The 24,370-nt window shown below is 38.5% G+C and overlaps 2 long non-coding RNA genes across 3 annotated transcripts in view; one reads left to right on the top strand and one right to left on the bottom strand.

Annotated features, from left to right (window-relative positions):
- LOC107987087 (uncharacterized) overlaps positions 1-24,370 on the bottom strand; it is a 288,244-nt gene that overhangs the window by 187,953 nt on the left and 75,921 nt on the right. The window lies entirely within an intron of this gene.
- LOC105376110 (uncharacterized) overlaps positions 1-24,370 on the top strand; it is a 72,772-nt gene that overhangs the window by 9,485 nt on the left and 38,917 nt on the right. Inside the window, exon 1 of one of the 2 annotated variants that reach the window (XR_001746779.2) lies at positions 8,446-8,652. The exons of the other annotated variant lie outside the window; for it this stretch is intronic. This is a non-coding gene — a long non-coding RNA (uncharacterized LOC105376110). Of the gene's footprint in view, positions 1-8,445; positions 8,653-24,370 lie in introns of those variants that run through there. 2 annotated transcript variants of the gene reach the window in all.

The following is a 24,370-nucleotide window of genomic DNA, read 5'->3' as shown; positions in this document are numbered from 1 at the left end:
CTTTCCAGTGTGTCCTTATAGGTATGTTTGCTATGGTGTTCAGTGGAGGCAGTAAATACTTCAGAACTGGGAGAAGATAAAAGTTTAAGAAGTGGTATTTGGCCTAGGTTCTGAAGGATTAGTACAAAGGAAGGAGAGAAGAGAAATTTAAAAAGAAGGAACAGTGGGAGCAACAATATGGAGCCAGGAAATGTAGGGTCTTGCATAGGATAGCTGGAGATGGGTATCCCTGAAAGAATGTCTCTCAGATCTTCTAATATATCTGACTGTAGCATCTTAAACTGTTAGCCAGTCATGCGAAATCTTTCAGTTGCTCAGTCATACTGGCAACTATTTATGTGTGTGTGTGTGTGTGTGTGTGTGTGTGTGTGTGTGTGTGTGTGTATTCCTTCTTGGACAATTAACAAATTTGACTGGAGAACAACTGCAGAAGGATGGGTTGGCTTTTGCTGACATATGGTCCAGAATGTGCCACCATCAATGCATATGCAACATGGCCATAATTTCTTAGAAAATGAATTTAGGCCCACTAAAAAAGAAATGAAATGGAAAACCGAACAACAAAGTTTGAACATTAGCCTCCCTTTGCAATCACTTGCACGTTACGTGTATGTTTTACTTTTTGCTGCTATGGCTAATGTCTTTCACTTTGGCATGGTGCAGTACCTTGTTTTCCTTAGCATCACTTGCTATTAGAATTAGGGCATGCTGTTTTCTACCTGAATGTAAATGTAAAAAATACTATTTTCATATGTATAAATGTCTAAGAGGATGGATGATTGGTGGCCTTTCCATCCAATATATCTTCAAAATGCAAAGTAAACTTGCCTTGGCAAAAACAAAAATTCCCTAGACTTTAAAGCAGAACTCACTGATTACAACTTATCACCTCTGATCCTTTGGCTTTTCCTTGTTTCATATATCTTTGGAACTTTCTCCAATTGCCACACAGATCTTAATCAGAGATGGCATTATTCTGTTCCCCGAAAAGGTAAGGAGTCAAATGATGAGGATGACATAGGCCGAAAGAACAGGGTCTTCCCTGTAAGGAAATCTTAACAAAAAATTACAATTTTAAAATGCACTAAGAATTTTTAAAAGTAATCAGGGCTTCTTTAGCGTTGTCTCACTCTGAATAGCTCTACTCAGCCAGCACCTATGAGAAATCATGAAGCTGTGAGATTTCTCCCCATGACGGAAGAGTCCACAAACATGGTTGTTCTCTGCTTTCATTCTTGGCACATGCAAATGAGAAATCATTTTGAACCTGAGAGTGGCACACAATGCCACCTGTTCAGTTTAACCTAATAGGTGGAAAAGTTATTTTCCTTCATATATAAAAAGAAGGCATAGCAAAGATCTGAATGCAAAGCAGAATGCATGGATAGGACATTCCATTGTCCTCATATGCAATGTGAGACTGCTATGAATGTCTGGGAAGGTCTGTTCCCTAAAGTTGAAACTGAAGCAGAACCTGATTCTGAACATTCAAAAGTTGCAACAAATTCTGTGCTGGGCCTGTGGGGTACTCTGGGGTAATTGGAATTGGGAGGTTATTCAGAAAGTCAAGGTTATCAAAAAGAAAATGAATTGTTGGATAAATTCATAAGTGTCTTCTTGCTAGTAGTCTTGGAGTATGTTCAGAAAGATATCAGTAGAAGCTAAGAGTATCACATGAAACTACAGAATGGTCCAGATGACATGGAGAAGACCTTGCTTCCCCACTCAGTATAACTTGACCCATGGCATTACATGAGAGAGCCTCTCTATGGCATAGGATAATTGGTTTTCTCATTCCTCCTTAACAATTTTTAACACAGAGGATGAATTACAAGAAAAGAAGATGGCTAATATCTGAGATTTTTGTGAAGAGATGAATGGGCAGATCATTGAATCAGGGAGCAATTGATAGAGGGAGATGAGTCTAGAAGTCTCCTGTGGAATGCAGTTGAAAGTTCAAGAGTGTGTGTAACTAAAAAGGGTGGAGAAATACTGTCAAATTATTCCTGCTAAAATATAAGTTCTACCAGAGTTGAGTCATGGGATGAGAAGTTGAGCCCAAGCGTCAGTTTCCCAGTGAAAGGAATTTGTGATGATGCAGCCTCCACCTCTAAGTCTTTGGCTTGGGGGAAATTGTTCTGTGGGAGGTGAAGACTTGGGTTTTAGGCCATTTTGGGAAGATCTCTGGCTGAACTCTATTTGCAAAGAAAGGGAAGAAGAAGAGTGACCTCTTAGGTCTAAAGAAAAGACAGAATTTGGGGATGAGACCCTCTAGCAGCACTGAGGCCTCTCCAAGACCTACTATAGCATGGAAGGTGATACTAGAATAGAGATTCAGAGTCTTGCAGATTCTAGAAGTCTGAGCAAAGGCGAAGGGGTTTTTTGTTTGGGTTTTCTTTGGTTTTTGTTTTCTGGTTGTCCCTCCCTCCCAAACTTAATTCTGAAGTCCAAGATTTTTAATCTTTTCACTCTGCATGTTATATAACTTAAGGGATTGAGGTTGATTATTTTACTTTCTCATTTTTATTTCACAGATGAAAACTTTTAAAAAGTCCTCTACCTTTTTTTTTAGTCTTGTTCCTTGATTGGTTGTTAGAGAATATACTCTTCACAATCAAGTATGAAGTACAAGAAGCTTCACTGAAATACGAAAGAGCAATGAGCATGGGAAAGAAAACAGGAAGAAGCTAAAATAAACATCAACAAAGTTTTCATCTAAAATTAAAGCTAGCACACAAGAGAAAGTGGACACAAACTAGAGAGTTTTGGAAAATACCTGACTTCTTCTTCTGAAAGGCCTGATTTTTAATGTGCACAAAAGGAAAGGTCTAAGACTGGACTAATTCTAGCAAAGTTTGAGAGCCCTGTGAGATTTCCATAGTTCCCCACTTAGTTTGAATCTCAGAAAATAGGCACTTATAATGAAAACATGCACAGACTCTTAACTATAACACTGCTAGCAGGCATTGCTATAATAGCAAGACAATTTAGTGATAATGGATGAGTAGGAAGAAAATTAAGTAGTTTGCTGAGATACAAAAAAGAAAAAAATCCTAAGCCAGAACATATTTGGCTTCATGTTCAACTTTAAATGCAAAGTCAGTTCATTAGTGTAATTTAACCTTTTCATAAGCTTCTCAATGATAAATTCCATTAATGCATTGGAAATGCCAGCTGTTAAGAATAGCCGGTGACTATGAGAGGCACTGAAAAGGGTGGGTTGGACTATGATCCCTTCCTACCTCCTCCAGCTCAGCACAAATGAGTGGATGGCAGGTTTTTTACCTTTCTTGTCCACGGTAAACGTCCTCATTCCACTCCATTCAGCCTGAGCCTTAGGGCAAGACAGGGTTTGCAGCCATTTACTACAATAATAGCAAGACAATTTAGCAGTAATGGATAAGTAGGGAGCAAATTAAGCCATTTGCTGAGATACAGAAATGAAGCCAGAAAATATTTGGCCTCGTGTTAGACTTCAAATTTATAGCCAATTCATTAGTATAATTTAGTCCTTGCATAAGCCTTTGAGTGATAAATTCTACTAATACATTTGAAATACCAGCTGTAAGAATAACTCATTGAGTGTTGAGTAAAATTAAAAGATGGGCAAGAATAAATCCTTCATTTTCATCTCATATGGGAAGATTTATGAAGGCCTTTGAGAAGAAGCATCTGTCTGCTAGTTGTAAATTGAGAGTATTAAGGGAAAACACTGGAATATTTTAGTTACATTAGTGAGAGGCATGTATTAACTCAAATGCTTTCGAGATCTTTCCCTTTGGGTTTGAAGATTACTCTTGATGAAGAACATGTGAACTTTTAGAATACATGTCTTGCTTGGGAACAAAGGCCACAGCACAAACAATATTAAGTGGTTGGTGTTTCGGGGAGTGGTTTCTAAGAAATTAGTCATGTGGGATGTTGGTGACTTTTTTCCCATATGGATATAGTTTTTTCTATGCTTGTGAGTGTTCTTTTTTAAGCCTGCAGAGGCTGCAAAGACTTAGAGCAGGGATAGGAAATATAAACAATCCATATTTCACTTCCTTAGCAAAAAAAAAAATTAATTCGTTTCATCAATTTCATTAGTTAGTTTCTCTCACAGGTGTCTTCAAATTGTATACCTTCATAACAAAATAAAATGTTCATTTAAAATGGAGGAAAAGAAGTAAATTTTCTTAAGCAACTATTACATGCTAGAAGATTTGTACAAAGTAGCTCAGGTTTTCTCCAAAAATTTTCTGAAACATGTTGTATTCCCAATTTATAGAAGAGGAAACTGGAAAATAATCTTCCTAGGACAACAACTTATCAGTAGTAAAACTGAGATGTAAACCTAAGTATGCCTGAGTCCAAGGAGGGAGACTCCAACAGAGGTTTGCTGACAGGGGTGAGTTTGGGATATCTAAAACTGACTCATGGAGACAGGCTTCTGGCCGCATGCTGTGTCTGGAGTGACCAGCTCTACTCTGGTCCTGTGGCCCTTCACTCGTTGTCAATGTGCTAGTTTTGGCCACAGCTGTGTTGTTAAACTTTTCCTGCTATGAATTGCCATCCCTGGCTAGAGACCCTGGGACTGACTTTTTCTGTCCTCAACTCTGCTTTAGGTTTGCAGGAAATATATATTAATAGATATGCTGCCCAGTTCCACCCTTGGTCCCAGACGATTTCACTACTCAGAGGATCATGCTGTAGAAGGCACAGTTTCTGGCCTACCTCTATCCTTGACCCTGCCCATTGGGATTGCCAGGCTTAGTGAATAAAGATATAGACATCTAGTTAAGTTCCAATTTCAAACAAGTTTTTAAAAGTATAAGTATGTCCCATGCAGTATTTGGGACATACTTATACTAAAATAGCATTTATTATTTACCTAAATTTCAAATGTAGTGGGGCACCCTGTATCTTTTCTGGTTAGTCTGAGCACCTCCATAAGTCAGAAATGTGAAGCTATGTAATAAACAATTAACCTTACTCAAAGAAAGTTTTGCCCTTTGGCCTGGTCTCTGGGGAAGTTATTTCAAGGAAGAGTGTCATTTTTTACCTGGCGACCTTCAGACTCAATGGACAATCTAACAGTGTGTTTTATGAAAAGGGCTTTGTGTCGCATGTTATCTGCTCTATCTCCAGAGGAGATGGAAATTAAAACTATCATCTGGGCCTCTAGAGGGGCTCAAGACTAAAGTTCAATTATGTGAGAAGCCAGGTATGTCACTGAACTCCCAGAAAAAGTCTGAGTACCAAGACTTGGGGAAATTCCTCAGTTGGCAGTACTCTGCATATTGTCACACATTATTACTGAGAGGAGTTAGCGCTGTTTATGATTCCATGGGGAGAGGACAACTGGAAGTTCTACATTTGGAAGCATCCTGAAACCTACCTGATGAATCTCTTCCTTTGGCTACTTTTAGTCAATCTTCTTCCTTGTAATAAACCATAACCTTGAGTATAACAGCTTTCAGTGAGTTCTGTGAGCCCTTTTAGTATAATCAAAACTGAGGGTGGTCTTCAGAATCCCTGAAATTATAGTTGGTGTCAGGAGTAAGAGCAATGTTCTGAACTGTGCTTTGTCTAACTTCTCAGAGTTAGATGGCTGCCTTTCTTGAGCTTACCATCTAGACCATACTACAAGTACTGAGATTCTGGAATTCCCTACCCAAAGGGCCGTAAGCATGCTTCCTGAGCTTGTGTGAGCTTCTTTCCCAGAACTATTCAAGGGTGAACAATGCCACTGATGTGCCACACCTAGCCTGGAGGGTAGCTAGTGGCTGCTGGGGTCAGTAGATGTGGTCAGTATGCATAGGCCTGTGTGCCCACATGCATGTATGTGAAGACCCTTCTCTTGTAGAACTGATCTGGGGTGAGAAGATAAAGTGGGAGGGCCGCAGGGGCCTTTCATTGTACTTTTCGCCCTAGTCCTAGTAAAAGTTAAAGAGCGAGGTGGGCCTCATCTTGCCCTCCCTTGCCCTAATGCAATTTAGAGCTTGTCCTCACTTTCTGTTTTTCTTCTCCAGCTTGGCACAGCAGTAGCTAGAGACTTTCCTCCATGACATGGCTCAGGTGGGGCCATATATCTCAGAATATACTCTTATTGAACAAGACACAACTTCAGTCTCATCTCCCACAACTTCAGTCTCATCTCCAGCTCCTCACTTGAGGGTGTCAAACTAACTTATATGGAATGGTCTGGATCCTAAGATGCCATCTATCATAAAATCTACCTCTGCGTTAGCAGCACCTTTTGGTGGTAGGGGAAAAAATTCTTACTAAAGTCAGTGCATCTATTAATTGGAAGATGGATTTTGTCTTCAGAAACTTCAAAATATAAAACAATGTTAACATTGAGGAGCTTTGCTATATATAGAATTATCATACTTCTATGTCGCTGGAGAGTTTAAAAATCTTTGCCATTCTTTATCTCGTTTAATCCTCATACCGACTCTTGTGGGGTCAGCTGGAGCACCACAGCACATCCATTGTCTTTTTCCCCACTGGCACCAGGGATCTCCCTCTATTTTCTCTTTTCCCTGCATCTTGATATCTCGATTACTGAGACCTGTCTGTGACCTGAGAATAGGCATAGGATAACTGGTTTTCTCATCCTCCTTAACAATTTTTAACACAGAGGATGAATTACAAGAAAAGAAGATGGCTAGTATCTGAGGTTTTTGTGAAGAGATGAATGGGCAGATCATTGAATCAGGGAGCAATTGGTAGAGGAAGATGAGTCTAGAAGTGTCCTGTGGCATGGAGTTAAAAGTTCAAAGGTGTATATAATTGAAAAGGGTGGGGAAATACTGTCAACTCATCTCCCCTAAAATCCAAGTTCTACCAGAGTTGAAGTGTGGGGTGAGAAGTTGGATCCAAGCGTCAGTCTCCCAATGAAAGGAATTTGTGATGATGCAGCCTCCACCTCTAAGCCTTTTTCTTGGGGGAAATTGTTCTGTGGGAGCTGAAGAAGACTTGGGTTTTAGGCCATGATGGGAAGATCTCTGGACCACCACCAACACAGCCTGGACTTGTACTTCCTTTGGTCTTGGCACCTATGACTGGCAGAAAAAGGAGCCACTGGCAGAGGGTACCATATGACTGGGATGGGTCTGGGCTTGGGGTAGGGGGAAAAGAAGGAAAAATTGGGTGTTACATAGGGAAGAGCTGTGATGCCTTGCTTGAAAGGGAAAGACAAGGGCCTCCACCAAGTCTGCAGGTGAGAGGAGAGGTTTGGATGCAGAGAGAATGGGAACCATGGGACTTTGGACAAGCCACTTTACTCTCTAAACCTTGGCCACCTCCTCTACAGAGTGGCACTAATGATTCCTACATTGTGGGGTTGCTGCACTATCAAAAGAGACAATATGTATAAAAGTCTCACCCATAATATGGCACATGAGCTCATTAATTTTACCTGTTATATTAAGTTTGAGCTTAGTGGAGTTCCTAACACAGTAGACACTCAATCAGTCTATGGCAGCTCTAATTATAATTATTGCCAACTCTTCCTCGGAAGTAGCTCTGAGGCAGAGTCCTTCTCACTGTCACTTAGAGGACAGAGAAAATGCAAGGAGGAATGAGTCAGAGGCGATGCTGATACAGAGCATTTTTGCATAAACGGAGCCCAGAGTTCTTTCTAGGGAAAAGAGAAAAAGTCATGGACCTTCCTGGCTGTGCCTGGCAGTGGTGGAGCTGAAGCCTGGGGAACAGCACCTGGCTCTGTCCATAAACCGGCTGTTAGGAAAGACGTGAAGCTGCTGTGTCTCCCTGCTTTCTGCTCCATCTCTTCCTGCCTCCTATTGTGGTAGGAATAGAAGTACTTAGAAAGCCATGGAAAGGCCTTATATCATCTTCAGAGAACTGAGGACAGGAGGAAACAGCCCCTGCCTGTGGCCTGAGAGCAGAGAGTGCGATGTGAAACCACGAAGAGTGGGGGTAAAAGAGAGGCAGGCAGCAGGACAACTCCCTGGAAGCCAGTGAAAAAGGTGTGGCTGGGAAGCCACTCATTCCTGATGAGGGTCTCATGGATTGACCTGGGAGAGAGGCTCATGGTGCTCTTAGTAGCCAGAGTCATTAGACAGAGAAGAATCAGAGCAAGGGCGATGGGGAAGACAGGATGATTAGCGGGGATCTCATGTGTTCCACTGCCATCATCACTCCTCCTGTCCTGGGAAGAGAAATGACATGGCCATCCCACATAGGATACACATATTATTTCCCCCAAATCACCAATGATAAGCCACACTGGCTGGATTTTATACACTTTCCCTGAAAGCCTGGGAATTTAACCACTTTTAGTACTAATGATTCTATGGGGAAAATGTTTTCTGATTCTCCCATTCTCTCATTTCCCCACTGACCAAGACATGAATTTCTAAAATGCAAACCGTGCCAGAAAGGGGATGGTTAATGCTGTTCACCTGAAGAGAAAAAAGATGACTGGTGCCTGTCCTGTTTTGTTTCAGACACAAAAGCAAGTGACGCCTTGGAACCAGATCAAAGAGGGCTCCAAGTGCATGCTGCACAGAGCAGGCAGTGACCCTGGAAGGTTCGATGTCCCTGGGAACATTCCCACTTTAAGTTGGACAGACCTTGAAGCACATCTGCGCCAGCATTTGCACGTTCATGTCTCCCTTACATGCCTTTCCTCCTGTTTGTTTGGTAAGGGCCTCTCTTTCCTGTAGCCATTCATCACGGTTTTCAGGGAATATCCATCCCGGTTTCCAGGACAACTACCTTCTCTATAAAGCCATATAGATTTTTCTCAACTCTGAACTCCTGCAACAAATGGAGTCCACACCATAGGGTCTAATTTTTTTTTTTTTTTTTTTTTTTTTGAGATGGAGTCTCTCTCTGTCGCCCAGCCTGGAGTGCAGTGGCACGATCTTGGCTCACTGCAACCTCTGCCTCCCAGGTTCAAGCAATTCTCCTGTCTCAGCCTCCCAAGTAGCTGGGACTACAGGCGCACGCGCCCAGGCCTGGCTAATTTTTGTATTTTTAGTAGAGATGGGGTTTCACCATATTGGTCAGGCTGGTCTCAAACTCCTGACCTCAGGTGATCCACCTGCCTTGGCCTCCCAAAGTGCTGGGATTACAGGTGTGAGCCACTGCACCCGGCCATAGGGTCTAATTTTTTAATTTTATTTTTCAAGAAAATATATATTGATCTTTTATGAACTTCAATATTGTTATCTGAATGATATTGTCAGGTTTTAAGGGCAAGGATTGTCTTATGCTTTTGTATCTCACAGAGCACTTTTCAATGCTTAGACTTGAGAATGTTCTTGCAGATATATGGTTTGCTCACATGTTTACAGAAAACATTGACTGCCACCTGATTAAACTTTAACCACAACCACCGCCATCATCACTGCACACAACTCCACTGCCACCACCTGGGATCACCACTGCTACTGGAAATTTTGTACAGCAATTCACAGTTTACTAAGTGTTTTCACCTGCAGTATCACAACCACAGCATAAGGGAAATATTACTTATTATCCCATTTACAGGTGATAAAATGGAAGCTAAAAAGGATCAGGTGACTTTCCTATGTGGTAGAGCTGTAAGCTGAAATCTTTTTAGGCACTCCCAGAACACACACGTCTATATATTTGTGAGCATGAAACAATGCGATTGTTTTCAAACAAACACTTAAAAGTGTTGTTCCAATTACGTAATAAACCTCCTCAATTTTGAGTGGTATAAAACACAGCCGTTTTCGTATGCTCCCAATTCTGTTGGTCAGGAACATGGCAGGGCATAGTAGGGCTGGCTTGTCTCGGTGCCATGAGGCTGAAGCCTCACCTGGATGGATCATATGCCTAGGGCCATATGGCTGGGGACTTTTTTTTTTTTTGCAACGGATCTTTGAATAATGTTGTTTCATTCAAAGTGCTTTTGTTATAATGATAATGAGGGAAAAAAGATAACCAATTCCCTGCTGGGGCCACTGTCTCCGTGGAGTTTGCACGTTCTGTCCATGCTTTCTCCAGGTACTCTGGTTTCCAACTACATCCCAAAGATGTGCACACTTGGTGAACTGGTGTGTCTAAATGATTTCAGACTGAGTGAATGTGGGTGTGGGCGTGAGTGTTCCCTTGGATGGGATGACAACATGTCCAGGGTGAGGGTGAGTTCCTGCCTTGTGCCTGAGCTGCGAGGACAGACTCCAGCCACCCATGACCCTGAACTGAACTGGAATACTAAATGTATGTATAGCTCACATTTCCTTCAGTGTTTAATATGAGAAATGTTTTGGTCTTTATTTAGAAGTTCGATGATGTTTTTGTAACCAGAAATATGCTGCAGATCTTGACTTTTGCTTATATCAATTAGTCTATAGTATAAATTAGTTTTGGAGTATGTTGTTTTTTCTTAAAGACACAGTTTCCAAGAACCTGTTGACGGTGTTAAGTGAGGACTTACTATGTGTGGTCAGAGCAGACCAATGTGGGAGCTGATTATGCAAAGGTTCAAATAGGGGTGGTGTCATTCATCAAGAAGACATCTGTAGAGATCAGCTACTGCAGTTATTCCAATTACATTTTTAAATCACAAGTCATACATGTGTAGGCAGCTCCTGTGACTTGCTGAAAACATTCCTGGAAATTATGAAGAATGTCCAAAAAAACCCAAACCAGACCTCTTTCCTTGAACAACTCTTTAGGTCAGAAAATCTGTAACTTACACCTGCAGCTACCCCTTTTTGGCACTAGTGGGTAGGCCTAAGTCAATAAGGCAAAAAACTATGTTTCAGTTGGTCCTGAAGGTCACAGAAATTTCAGAATAGAAAAACTAATGTAGCAAAAGATAGCACAAACTTCCATGTGACTAACTGTTCTTTTGTGTTTTCTTAAGTGTTTTTATTAAGTAATAAAAGTAAGAGAGAATAGATAAAGCAATTGAGTTTCCTTGGAAGTTTGTATTTGACTTTTAAAAGTGTATTGTGGTATCTACAATAGTCTATTTTTCTTAAATAAACTAAAGTGAATTTTTGAAGGGGTGATTTGGAGTCCTAGTAAAAACAATGGACTCCAGTTTGCTACAACAAATATTTATTGAGCAGCTACTGAAGTCAAGCACAGTGCCAGACATTCGATGTATCAGAGAGCACATCAGACATAGTATCAGCCCTCGTGAAGCTTATTATCCAGTGAGGAGAACAAAATAGGCAATTAAAATGTAATGTCACACATACTATGACTGAACAAGTACAAGGAGATGTCAGAGCACAAAGGAGGGACCTGTTGCCCAGGCTCAGTTGTTGACAGAAAATGTAAAATACACATGACAGAGAGAATCTTTCTTTTTTAAAGTCTTCTACTTTAAAAAAAATTGTGACGGAATATACATAACATAAAATTTACCATTTTCACCACTTTAAACACACAATTTAGTGGCATTAAGTACATTCATGATGTGCAACTGTCACAACTATCCATTTTTAGAACTCTTTCATCATCCCAAGTAGAAACTCTGTTCCTGTTAAACAATAACTTCCATTCTTCCCTCCTCCCAGCCCCTGGTAGTTTCTGTTCTACTTTCTGTCTCTATAAATTTATCTACCCTGTGTAACTTACGTAAGTAGAATCATTCAATATTTGTCATTTTATCTTTGACTTATTTACTTAGTATAATGCGTCTAAGTTTCACCTACGTTGTAGCACGTATCAGAATTTCATTCCTTTTTATGACTAAATAGAATTCCATTGTGTGTGTGTGTGTGTGTGTGTGTGTGTGTGTGTGTGTGTGTGTGTATGCATATGTTCACGATGGTCTGTGTCCCCCAAAATTCATGTGTTGGAAACATAATCCCCAATGCAACAGTGTTGAGGCCTTCTAAGGTAGGGGGGTGTGTGTGTGTGCATCACAGTTTAATCTGTGTGCATCATTAATCTGTTAATGGGCACGGACTTTGGGGTTGTTTCCACATTTTTGCTATTGTGAATAATATTGCTATAAACATTGGTCTGTTTGAATCTCCAATTAAAATTCTTTCAGGTATATATTTAGGAAAGACAATCCTAAATCATATGAGAATTCTTTGCTTAACTTTTTGAGAAATCACCATACAATTTTTCACAGTGGATATGTCATTTTACATTCCAACCAGCAATGACCAAAGCTTATAATTTCTCCAATCCTTGCCAACACTTGTTATTTTTCATTTTTTGATAATAGTCATCCTTAGTAGATGTGAAGTGATATCTCACTGTGGTTCTGGTTTGCATTCCCCTAATGGCTAGTGATGTTAAATATGTTTTATGTGCTTATAAACTATTAATATTTGTGTATCTTCTGTGGAGAAGTGTCTATTCAAGCCCTTTACACCTTTTTTTAATTGGGTTGCTTATTTTTGTAGTTCTTTATATATTCTGGGTATTAATCCTTTATCAAATATATGATTTTCAAATGTTTTCTCATATTCTGTGGATTGGCTTTTTACTCTGCTGATAATGTCTTTTGATGCACAACATTTGTTAATTTTCATGAAGTCCAATTTGTTTATTTTTTTCTTTTGTTGTACCATTGGTGTCTTATCCGAAAAATCACTGTCAAGTTCAATGCTGTGAATCTTTGCCACATGTTTTCTTCTTAGAGTGTATTAGTCTGTTTTGCATTGCTATGAAGGAATACCTGACATTGGGGTAATTTATAAAGAAAGGAATTTTATTTAGCTCATGGTTCTGCAGGCTATACAAGCATGGCATCTGTATCTGCTTGGCTTCTAGTGAGGCCTCAGGAGGCTTTTATTCATGGCACAAGGCAGAGGGGAGCAGGGGTGTCACATGGCAAGAGAGGAAGCGAGAGTGCCAACACCATTCAATGGGGAAAAGATAGTGTTTTAAACAAATATTTCCAGGAAAACTAGATAGCCACATGCAAATTAATAAAGTTGGACCCCAACCTAAGACCACTCAAAATGGATCAAAGATTTAAAAGTGAGACATAAAACTGTAAACCTATTTAATGTAGGCTGGATGTTTGTCCCCTCCAGAGCTCATGTGAAAATGTGAGCCCCCCTGGGAGCAGTGGCTCATACCTGTAATCCCAGCAATTTGGGAAGCTGAGGTAGGAAGATTGCTTGAGCTCAGGAGTACAAAACCTGCCTGTGCAACATGGTGAAACCCTGTCTCTAAAAAAAAAAACAAAAAACAAACAAACAAAAATACAAAAATTAGCTGAGTGTGGTGGTGTGTGCCTGTGGTCCCACCTACTCAGGAGGCTGAGGTAGGAGGATCACCTGAGTCCAGAAGGTTGAGGCTGCAGTGAGCCTAGATCACACCACTGCACTCCAGCCTGGGTGACAGAGGAAACTCTGTCTCAAAAATAAATAAATAGATAAATAAAAGAGAAATATGATCCCCAGTGTTGGAGGTGGGGTCTAATGGGAGGTTTTGGGGTCATGAGGGTAGATCCTTCACGAATGGCTTGGTGCCTGCCCTGTGGTAATTATTACCATGAGATCTGATTATTAAAGAGTGTGGGACCTCCCTACTCTCTCTCATCAGGGTTTATTTCTGGAATTTCTATTTTATTCCATTGGTATATATGTCTGTTTTTATGGCAGTACCACACTGTTTTGATTACTGTAGGTTTGTGGTAAGTTTTTTTTTTTTTTTTTTTTTTTTTTTTTTTTTTTTTTTTTTTTGGAGAAGAAGTTTTGCTTTTGTTGCCCAGGCTGGAGTGCAATAGCACGATCTCGCCTCACTGAAACCTCTGCCTCCTGGGTTCAAACAATTCTCCTGCCATCAGGAACTGTGAATCTTTTAGTTTTGTTTTTCTGTTGTTGGTTTATAAGATTTCCTGGCTATTCTGGGGTCCCTTGAGATTCTATGTGAAGTTTAGGATGGACTTTTCTATTTCTGCCAAAAAAAATGTCATTGGGATTTTGACAGAGATTCCATTGAATCTATAGACAAATTTGGGTAGTATTTGCATTTTAAGAATATTATCTTCCAAACCATTAAAATGAAATATATTTCTATTTATTCATGTCTCTTTACATTTCTCTCATCAAAGTTTTATATTTTCATTGTACAACTCTCTACATTTTTGGCTAATTCCTAAGTATTTCATTCTTTATAATGTGATAAATGGAAGAGAGAAACGCAACCAATTTTTCTGTGTATATTTTATTTCTTGCTACTTTGCTGAATTCACTTGCTCTAACAGTGTTATTGTGGAATATTTAGGGTTTTCTATGTACAAGACGATCTTATCTGCAAACAGAAATAATTACTTCTTTCTTTCTAATTTGTATGACTTTTGTTTTTCATGCCTAATTGTTCTGGCTAGAACTCCATAAATGTGGAGGTGGTGATAGTGGGCATCCTTGCCTTGTTCCTGATCTTAGAGAAAAAGCTCTCAGTCTTTTGCCATTAAATATAATGCCCTTTTCATGTTGAAGAAGTTTCCTTCTATTCTTAGATTATTGAGTATTTTTATTATAAATCAGTGTTGAATTTTGTTGAATGCTTTCTCTGCATCAGTTGAGATAACTGTACTTTGTAGTTTTTTTCCTTCATTCTATTAAAATAGTGTATTACACTGATTAATTTTTACATGTTGAACCATTCTTGCTTTCCAGGAATAAAATCCCCTTGGTCATGGTGTGTAATCCTTTTAATATTTTACTAAATTAAGTTTGCAAGTATTTTGTTGAGAATTTTTATATCAATATTCATAAGGAATGTTTTCTGTAGCTTTTTTTTCTTGTAATATCTTTGTCAGGCTTTTAGTATCAGGGTAACACTGACTTCATAGAATGAGTTAGGAAGTATTCCCACTCCTTCAATATTTTTGGATAAATTTAAGGAGGATTGGTGTTAATTCTCTTCAAATACTTAGGAGAATTCACCAGTGAAATCATCTGGTCCTGGGCTTTTCTTTGTTGGAAACTTTTTGATTATTGATTTTATCTCCTTACCAGTTATAGGTCTGTACATATTTTTCATTCCTTTATCAGTCAGTTTTGGTGGATTGTGTGTTTCTAGGAATTTGTCATATTTTATCTAGGTCATCCAATTTGTTGGTGTAAAATTATTCATTGTATTCTCTTATGATCATTTTTATCTCTGTACAATTGGTGGACATATTCCCATTTCAGTTTTGATTTTATTAATTTCAGACTTTGCTCTTTTATTCTGAGTATATCTACTAAAGTTTTGTTGATTTTTCAAAGAATCAATGACTGGTTTTATTGATTTTCTCTATTGTTTTTCTATATTATTTATCCCTGTTCTAATGTGTATTATTACTTTCCTTCTGTTAATTTTGGATTTACTTTGCTCTCTTTTTCAAGTTCCCTATGTTATGATATTGAGATCCTTTTTAAAAATATTCATTTTTAGCTATAAATTTCCCTCTTAGCACTTCTTTTACTGCATCCTATAAACTTTGATATGTTGTGTTTCAGTTTGCACTGGTGTTAAGATATTTTCTCACTTTGCTTGTGATTTCCTACTTAAAAACATTGGTTGTTTTAGAATGCATTGTTATTTTCTACACATTTGTGGATTTTCCAGTTTTCCTTTTGCTTTTGATTTCTAGTTTTGTTCCATTGTGATTGGAAAAGATACTTCATATGATTTTCATTTTTTTAAAGTTACTAAGATTTGATTTTTTGTTATAACATATGGTCTCTCTTGAAGAATGTTCAATTGTACCTGAGAAAAATATGCATTTTTCTGTTGTTGGGTGCAGTGTTCTGTATATCTATTAAGTTTAATTGGTTTATTGTGTTGTCCAGTCTATTTATTAATTTATTAATCTGCATGTTCTATCCATTATTAAATATGAGGTATTTAAATCTCCAACAGTAATTGTAGAATTGTCTATTTCTCTCTTCAAGTTTATCAGTTTGTTTTATGTATTTGAAGTGCTCTGTTGTTTGGTGTACATATGTTTATAGTTCCTAGGTCTTTTTAATTATTTGGCCTCTTTTCCAATATATAGTGTCTGTCTATGTATTTTGTAAATTTTTTTACTAAAAAATTTATTTTGTCTGATATTAGTATAACAACCCAACTCTTTTTGTTACTATTTTTAGGGAATGCATTTTTTTCATCCTCCCACTTCAACCTATTAATATTTGTACCTTTAGATCTAAATGGGTCTCTTACAGACACTGTATAGTTGGATCATGCTGTTTTATCCATGCTAGTAATTTTTATCTTTTCACTGGAGAGTTTAATCCATTTACATTTAAAGTGAGTACTGACAGGGAAGGATATACTATTGCAATTTTCTTATTTGTATTCTGTATGTCTTGTAGTTGTTTTGCTTCTAATTTTCTCCTTTACAGTCTTCCTTTTTATTTAGTTATATTTTTGTAGTGACATATTTTTGTTCCCCTCTCATTTCCATTTGTGTCTATTCTAGAGATAATTTCTTTTTAGCTACCATGGCAATTTCATATAACATCCTAAAGTTATAACAATCTAATTCGAATTGATAACAGCTTAATTTCAATTGCATAGAAAACCCTACTGCTATACCACCCTAATCCCCTGTTATGTTATTAAATATTACAAATTACATCTTTATCCATTCTGTGCCAAATTATAAATATCTATAATTATTTCTATACATTTATTTTTCAAGTACTGCAAGAAATAAAAAGTGGAATTATAAGCCAAAATAATGAAAGCCAAATTACTGGCTTTTACATGCATTTACCTTTACTAGGGATCTTTATTTCTTTATATGGCCTCAAGTTACTCTCTAGTATCCTTTCATTTCAACCTAATGGACTCCTTTTTGTGTTTCTTACAAGGCAGGTCTAATGACAATGAACTCTCTCAGCTTTTGTTTATCTGGAAATGTCTTAATTTCTACCTCATTTTGAAGGGTAGTTTTGCCAGATATACAATTATTGGTTGACTGTTTTTTCTTTCTTTCAGCTCTTTAAATATGCCACTGACTTCTGGACTCAACTATTTCTGATGAGAAGTTGGCTGGTAATCTTATTGAGAATTTTTTTTATGTGACTAGTCTCTCTTGCTGCTTTCAAGGCTCTGTCTTGGTTTTTGCTTTTGACAGTTGATTATGATATATCTTCTTGTTGGTGTCTTTGAGATTAATATACTTGTAGTTTGTTGTGCTTCTTGGATTTGTAGATTCATGTCTTTAATCCAACTTGGGAAGTTTTGGCCACTATTTCTGCAACTATTCTTTCTTCCATGCTCTCTCTCACTTCTTTTTCTGAAATTCCCATTATGCATATATTGATCAATTTAATGTTGTCTTACAAAACCCTTAGGCACTGTTCATTTTTCTTAATTATTTTTCTTCCTGTTTCTCAGACTTGATAATTTTAATTTTCTTGTCTTCAAATTGGATGGCTACTTTTCTCTCTGCTCAAAGCTTATATTGAATATCTCCAGTGGATTTTTAATGTCAGTTATTATATTTTTCAGCTCCAGAATTTCTGTTTTATTCCTTTTTATAATTCCTATCTCTTTATTGAAATTCTCATTTTGTTCATATATTGTTTTCCTGATTCTATTTAGGTCTTTGTTCATGTTGTCCTTTAGCTTTTTGTGCATATTTAAGACAGCTGTTTTAAAGCCGCTGTTTAGTAAGTTTGGTGTCTGAATTTCCTCATGGATAATTTCTGTCAGTTTATTTTGTTCTTTTGAATGAGCTATGTGTTCCTGTTTCTTTGTATGCCTTGTAATATTTTTAGTTAAAATTGAGTAGTTAACTATTAAACATGGGAAACTTGGGAAATCAGATTCTCCTTCTTTTCCATATACTCTTTTTAAAAATTGTTGAGGGCTGTAGTAGTTCATTGGTTTTGAGACTTTTCCAAATTATTATTTTTTTTTTTTTTGAGATGGAGTCTCACTCTGTCCTCCAGGCTGGAGTGCAGTGGCGCAATCTCAGCTTACTGCAAACTCTGCCTCCCGGGTTCACGCCATTCTCCTGCCTCAGCCTCCCGAGTAGCTGGGACTACAGGTGCCCGCCACCACGCCTGGCTAATGTTTTTGTATTTTTAGTAGAGACGGGGTTTCACTGTGTTAGCCAGGATGGTCTCGATCTCCTGACCTTGTGATCCGCCCACCTCGGCCTCCCAAAGTGCTGGGATTACAGGCGTGAGCCACTGTGCCCAGCCCCCCAAACTATTTTTGAAAATACCATTTCTTATTATGCATAATCATTGAAGTCTCTGTGTTCAGCAAATGTTTGGACAGAGATTTCCTTGAATGCCAGAAACTCTCCTAGTCTTTAGAGATTGGGTCTGTGCTGAAAAACTCCTTCAACAATTAGTTAGGTTTGTTATGAGTCTAGGGGCCATTCTGAGGTAAAAGTTTAAGGTCTTTTCTGGCCTTTTTTGAGCATACATCTTGTCTGGATATGTGTGTATGTGACTTTCTAAATTCCCCCATATACATGACTGCTTTTGAATGTCTTAATTTCCCAAAGCTACTCACTCCACCTGCTCCTTGGGCCCAAGACAATCTACTGTATGTCTCTCTATATAATCTCTTGTTCCAGGTATCTGTAGGTCTGTCATCACCTTGCAGCTTTTATAAGCAGTACCCACCACTTTTTCTGCCTAAGTTTCAAGCTGGGTGAAACAGAGACAAGAAACTTACAACAATCTTTTAGATATTCCCCAGACAAGTTAGACTAGAAGTATGCAAATTTACAAATAAGTTCTGCTGTGTTCCCTCCAGTTTGAGGTTGGGAACTGAGAACTAATATGCTGCTTGAAGACCAAAACCACTGCCATACTGGTGGGGAGCAGGAGTGGGACAAGGACAAGTTAAATGCCACAAAACTTTCTTTCCATTTTAAAGATGGCTTTTTCTTGACCAGGCATTAGCTTGTTAGCTATGAATCTTTGACTACTTTCCAGAGCTTTTTAAAGGTTGGTTCAGTTAGTTTCTGCTTGGGGTTTTTGATGTGTTTGTTGAAGAATGAGAGATTGGAATTTCTTTGTCTACCATTTTGCTGAGATCACTTGAAAAGATCAAAGCTCTACTTTAAGATGTTACTTTTGGAGCTGATCTTGCCCACTGCAACTAGACCAGGTGAATTCTTATTTCCAAAGATAAGTTCTAAAGTTTTATACTTTCCAAACTGGTTCAAAAACGGCTTCCACAACATTAAGAAAATGTAATGCATTGGAATGACAGTTCTTTGTTTAGATTTTCTAACACTTCTTTTTAAAAAACGAACATGAGCCACTGTAGCTGGCTGGCATTGTCATTATTATCAACATTGTTGGTATTTAACTTGTTACTAATTACTTTATAATTATAGCCCCCTTACAATAAATCTGGAAAATGCTTTTAAGCACACTATTGAATTTTAATATCAGTGCATTTCAGACTTTCCCTATTAGTGTTTGACTGTCTATAGTTATATTTTCCTAGATAAATGAAAATGACTTTATTCCATACCTACTAAACTCTGTTTGGATAGAGCTAAATTTTTTTCAACTTTTCTCAAATGAGTTATAAAAATAAATGTTTCCATAATTCATTCCTTAAAAATGTCTTTGAAAGACATTTTTAAGCAGAATTTTATATATGTAGACTTAGAAAAAAAATAAGAGATTTGATCAAAAATTTTTTCCTCACTTTGCATTTAATAAAGTATCACTCTTTCAAGCCATTGTTCAAAGACATAAAGAAATGGTAAGAAGAGTCATAGGTTCTGAAAGCATGCTCCTTTATCTTTTTAGGAAGCCAAGTTTCATTGAAGAAGAGAAGGCAAAGATCTAAAGCTATCTATATTCATAGGGGCACCCAACCAGGCCAGGTGAGATAAAAAGCAGAATGAAGGGTGGATTTCTGGAGTTTCAATATGAGGTCAAAGAAGAATACAAAGCTTGTAGCTTAAAGAAGATTGTCTCTACTTTTGCATTGTGCAAGATTATGTAGAAACTGATTACAATACAAAATTATCTGATACTTCCTAATTTCAACAATGCTGCCAGGTCTGACTCTTGGGGAAGCAAAGTAGGTACAATGCACAGTTGCCCTAAACTTTTCTTCCTTCACTGGGGCGCCCAGGCTGCTTTTTAATAAATGGCTCCTTGCTTGGGTACCAGGTGCATTTGCTCAAGGCGCTTCCAAAGAGTTCACCTACCTCACATTAGTCAGCAGCTTGCTATGAGAGAAACCATCACTTTGCCTCACTGAAGGATTATTTAGCCCTTATAAAACACACCACATCTCCCATTATCAACAGGACATTTAATTAGCCCCCACTGATTCACCAAGCAAAGCAACTTGTATGAATTTTTTTGGCTTTTCATTGTGGCTTTAGGATATCCACATACTTCTTGATATTTTGAAAATTTTCATTCCAGTTCCACTCTAAGTTTTCAGAGTAGAAGTGTACATAAGTAAAAAATTTCTTCAGGTAACTGAACAGTACTTTTCAACCATTCATGTGGTATAAACTGAACTACCTACTAGAGAGACTGGGAGGAAGCAGGGAGGGGATCCTTTGCAGAGCAGGGTGTGCACAGAGTGCACTGTGTGCACAGTCACTCAGGATTGCTTTGGAGATGCTTCCAAGGAAACCCTGCTGTTCACCTGCAGTTAGGGCACCTCTCAGCATGCTCTTTAAAGGGTGGCTTTCCTTATCCTTAGGCTGTATCTGAATATGGCTTATATCATGGACTGGATTCCAAAGCAAAAAAGAAAATATTTGCCCATGGGTGAATGCTGATCTTCAACTTCATTTTACTTAGCCTTTGGGCAATTAGACTAATACCTACATTTTATTGTTTAGGGAAAAATTACACCTCTAAAGTCTTTAGTAATAATGCACCTAGATGGACCAAATCCCAAAAAAAGCTTTTCTTTGCCTTACCCTCCAGCATGTTTTGTTTCCAAATTCATATACAGGAGAAAGTTATTAACTAATCCTCTGTGCTAGGAGATTTTATAAATTATCTTAATATTTGGAATTACTCTTTGAAGTAGATATTAGTCCTTCTATAACACCAAATTCAGTTGCTAGCACATAGAATCTCAATACAGAGCGAATGAAGAAAAGCTAAAAAGATAAATGAATGAATTTACAAATGAGTTCAGATAGAGCTAAATGACTTGTTCATGGTTATAGAACTAGTAAGCTGAAGAGCTGGTATTTTAGGTTAAAAAATGGTGGTGGTGAAGCACATATTGCAGACCAGATCTAAGCCAGTTTGCCCATTCAATTTTTTAAGTTATTTTGGTATATACCAGTAGCTTCTGAAGGCTATTAATATGTGGGCTATTGTTTTCTCACAGATTGTATTTATTCATGAAATCAAGTCCTAAGAATAAATTCTGCCATACTTACAAAACACATTTATAATCAAGTGGGTACAATAGCAGTCAGTTGTCACAAAACCATTTATTGGAAGCTTAGTTGTATCTCCCCCTTCTTGTCCTGTTAGAGATTCTGACAAACACCTTATTTGTAAGATGTGCCCCGAAGGCAAGTGCAGCAAATATTTTGACAGGAGAATAACTAATCTACCAGTTGGATCAAGGAACAGAATCATCTATTATAAAGTGGGGAACATAGGACTATAGAAGTTTCAGATGGTGGGGTTGCTCTTAAGGTGTGAAGTTACTGTCTAGAGCTTCCTGTTCCCCATTCACAAGAGGGTAAAGATGCCTGTACAGATGGCAAGCCAATGGCTCCTAAACCATATAGAGTGTGGCAAATGTATGACCTAGTTGTTCTATACCAGTTGCTCCCTTTGCCAGGAACTGCCAAAGCTCTTAAGCTAAAGCCACTACCAGATATGCTCACCCCTTGAAAAAGGCTATGGCCAAGATGCTGGCTTTCCAGCTGGGAGCCTCCAGAGGGTGCCCTCCCCTTTGGCACATCTGTTGGAAAATGACTGTTCTTGGACTGCAGCTGTTTCTCAACCATCATCTACTTTGCTGTACCTATGTCACCCTGGAAATCAGAATAATCCAGAGTAGAAGGAACTACCAGGGTCTCCAAGCTCCTTCTCTTCCTCACTTGGCATTGATCTCTGGAGAACTGGTCCTGATGGAAATCCTGAGGGCAAACCACCTTCTTTTTTTCTCTACACATGATTTGTAGGGTTAGTGATTTGAACTCCCTAAGCAAGGCACACAGTCTTTTTTTTTTTAATATACTTTAAGTTCTAGGGTACATGCGCACAATGTGCAGGTTTGTTACCTATGTATACATGTGCCATGTTGGTGTGCTGCACCCATTAACTCCTCATTTACATTAGGTATACCTCCTAATGCTTTCCGTCCCCACTTCCCCCACACCACAACAGGCCCCGGTGTGTGATGTTCCCCTTCCTGTGTCCAAGTGTTCTCATTGTTCAATTCCCACCTATGAGTGAGAACATGCGGTGTTTGGTTTTTTGTTCTTGCGATAGTTTGCTGAGAATGATGGTTTCCAGCTTCATCCATGGCCCTACAAAGGACATGAACTCATCCTTTTTTATGGCTGCACAGTATTCCATGGTGTATATGTGCCACATTTTCTTATTCCAGTCTATCACTGATGGACATTTGGGTTGGTTCCAAGTCTTTGCTATTGTGAATAGTGCCACAATAAACAAAGGTGTGCATGTGTCTTTATAGCAGCATGATTTATAATCCTTTGGGTATATACCCAGTAATGGGATGGCTGGGTCAAATGGCATTTCTAGCTCCAGATCCTTGAGGAATCGCCACATTGTCTTCCACAATGGTTGAACTAGTTTACAGTCCCACCAACAGTCTCAAAGTGTTCCTATTTCTCCACATCCTCTCCAGCACCTGTTGTTTCCTGACTTTTTAATGATCGCCATTCTAACTGGTGTGAGATGGTATCTCATTGGGCACACAGTCTTCAAATCTGACCTGGTTTAGAGCTATGTGCCATCTTTGTTCTCAACTCTATTCCTCTAACCTTCAACCAGTGGAGAAGATGCCAGCACTCTCTAATGAAACACTTGGTGTTCTGTGTCTTAATCATACATTTATTTCAACAACTTCTAAGTGATTCCCATTGGCCAGGCACTGTGTGGTAGCTCCGAACTAGGTCACCGTGCAAGAAAATTCAAAAGCATTAAGTGTTGCAAAATAAGAAGGGCAGGTTGTTAGAATGTAACCATACCTCCAGTCCTCTAAGACCTTTAATTCCCTGAGAATTTCCTCCCAGATGCCTAAGAAAGACATGCAAGTGCCTTCAGGATATACGGTTGTGTTTTTAATTCCAGATGGTCCATCTGACCCATCATAGTCTTTAACTACCCTAAATTGGACTTGCAAATTATATTTGTGAATGTAAACATAAAAGGCAAATACAATGTGACCTGATGGTAGCAGACAGATAATATATGACACATTCATAGACTATTGATAGAATAATAATAATAATCTGAAGCCTTGAGGGTCAGGCCAGCTTTTGTTTACTTTATCATCTATAAGTCTCTCATTTTATGTTACAAAGTTGATAACTGGCATATAAATGACACAATACCTATTTAACCAAAATGTCAGTTTTACCTTGCTTTGTCCTCCCAAGTTCATGGTTGTAAACCACCTGGAGAAAAATAAAGTATAATGGAAAGAACCAGGGCTTTGAAGTTGGGCATGTTCTAGCTTTGCCACTTAGTAGCTTTGTAACTCTGAGCCTTTGCAGTAGGGAATAAAATTAATCTACATATCACAGGATGGTCCAGGCCTCAAAAGCTGCTGTATGGAAAACCTCCTGCAAGCTATTGGATCTGTACTAAAAGCCTGCTAGCTATACAGCTTCTATTATTTTCTACCACGTCATCATATATTGTGTTGCTATAAGTCACTGTTTCCTGGTGAGGTTACTTCACATTTTTCCAAATAAGAGATTCAGGGATATATTTGAAGATTTCTGAACATGTGAGAGCTGGTATCTACCAAGCTGTCCATCTTCATGAGATAGGGAACAGGAAGCATAAGTCACTGGAGTCTGCGGCTGCCAAGCCACTCATGGATTACCCACCTTTTTATGCAGATAAATGCCATGACAGATCAGTTATTAAATATAAAGTACACGGTGCCATATAAATCTCTGTTTCCCATTGCTCTCTCCTGTGCTGAGCTGACACATGAGATGGGTTTAGAAAATTAAAGGCTGAAAAAGGGTAAATGTAGAAGGCTAGCACTTGGCTTTATACATGGGTGATTGATGAGCTAGGGAGAGGCTTAAAGCAGAGAAGACCGTGTGTGGAGATCAGAGAACACCTACCTGGAAAGAGATCCATATCAGGAAGGAAGGCCAGAGAAGCCTGGAAATCTGAGAAAAATTGTGCTTGACAAAGCATTTTCTAACCTAGGGATACCACCACTCTCAGTTAATAGCTGCAAGGTTTCTGGTGGTAATCTTGCAAAAGCAGTTTTTGTATTT

Source organism: Homo sapiens, chromosome 9 (assembly GCF_000001405.40).
Source record: "Homo sapiens chromosome 9, GRCh38.p14 Primary Assembly".
Taxonomy (NCBI): Eukaryota; Metazoa; Chordata; class Mammalia; order Primates; family Hominidae; genus Homo; species Homo sapiens.
Note: the sequence above shows the minus strand (reverse complement) of the source record. Positions and strands in the feature narration are given on the sequence as shown.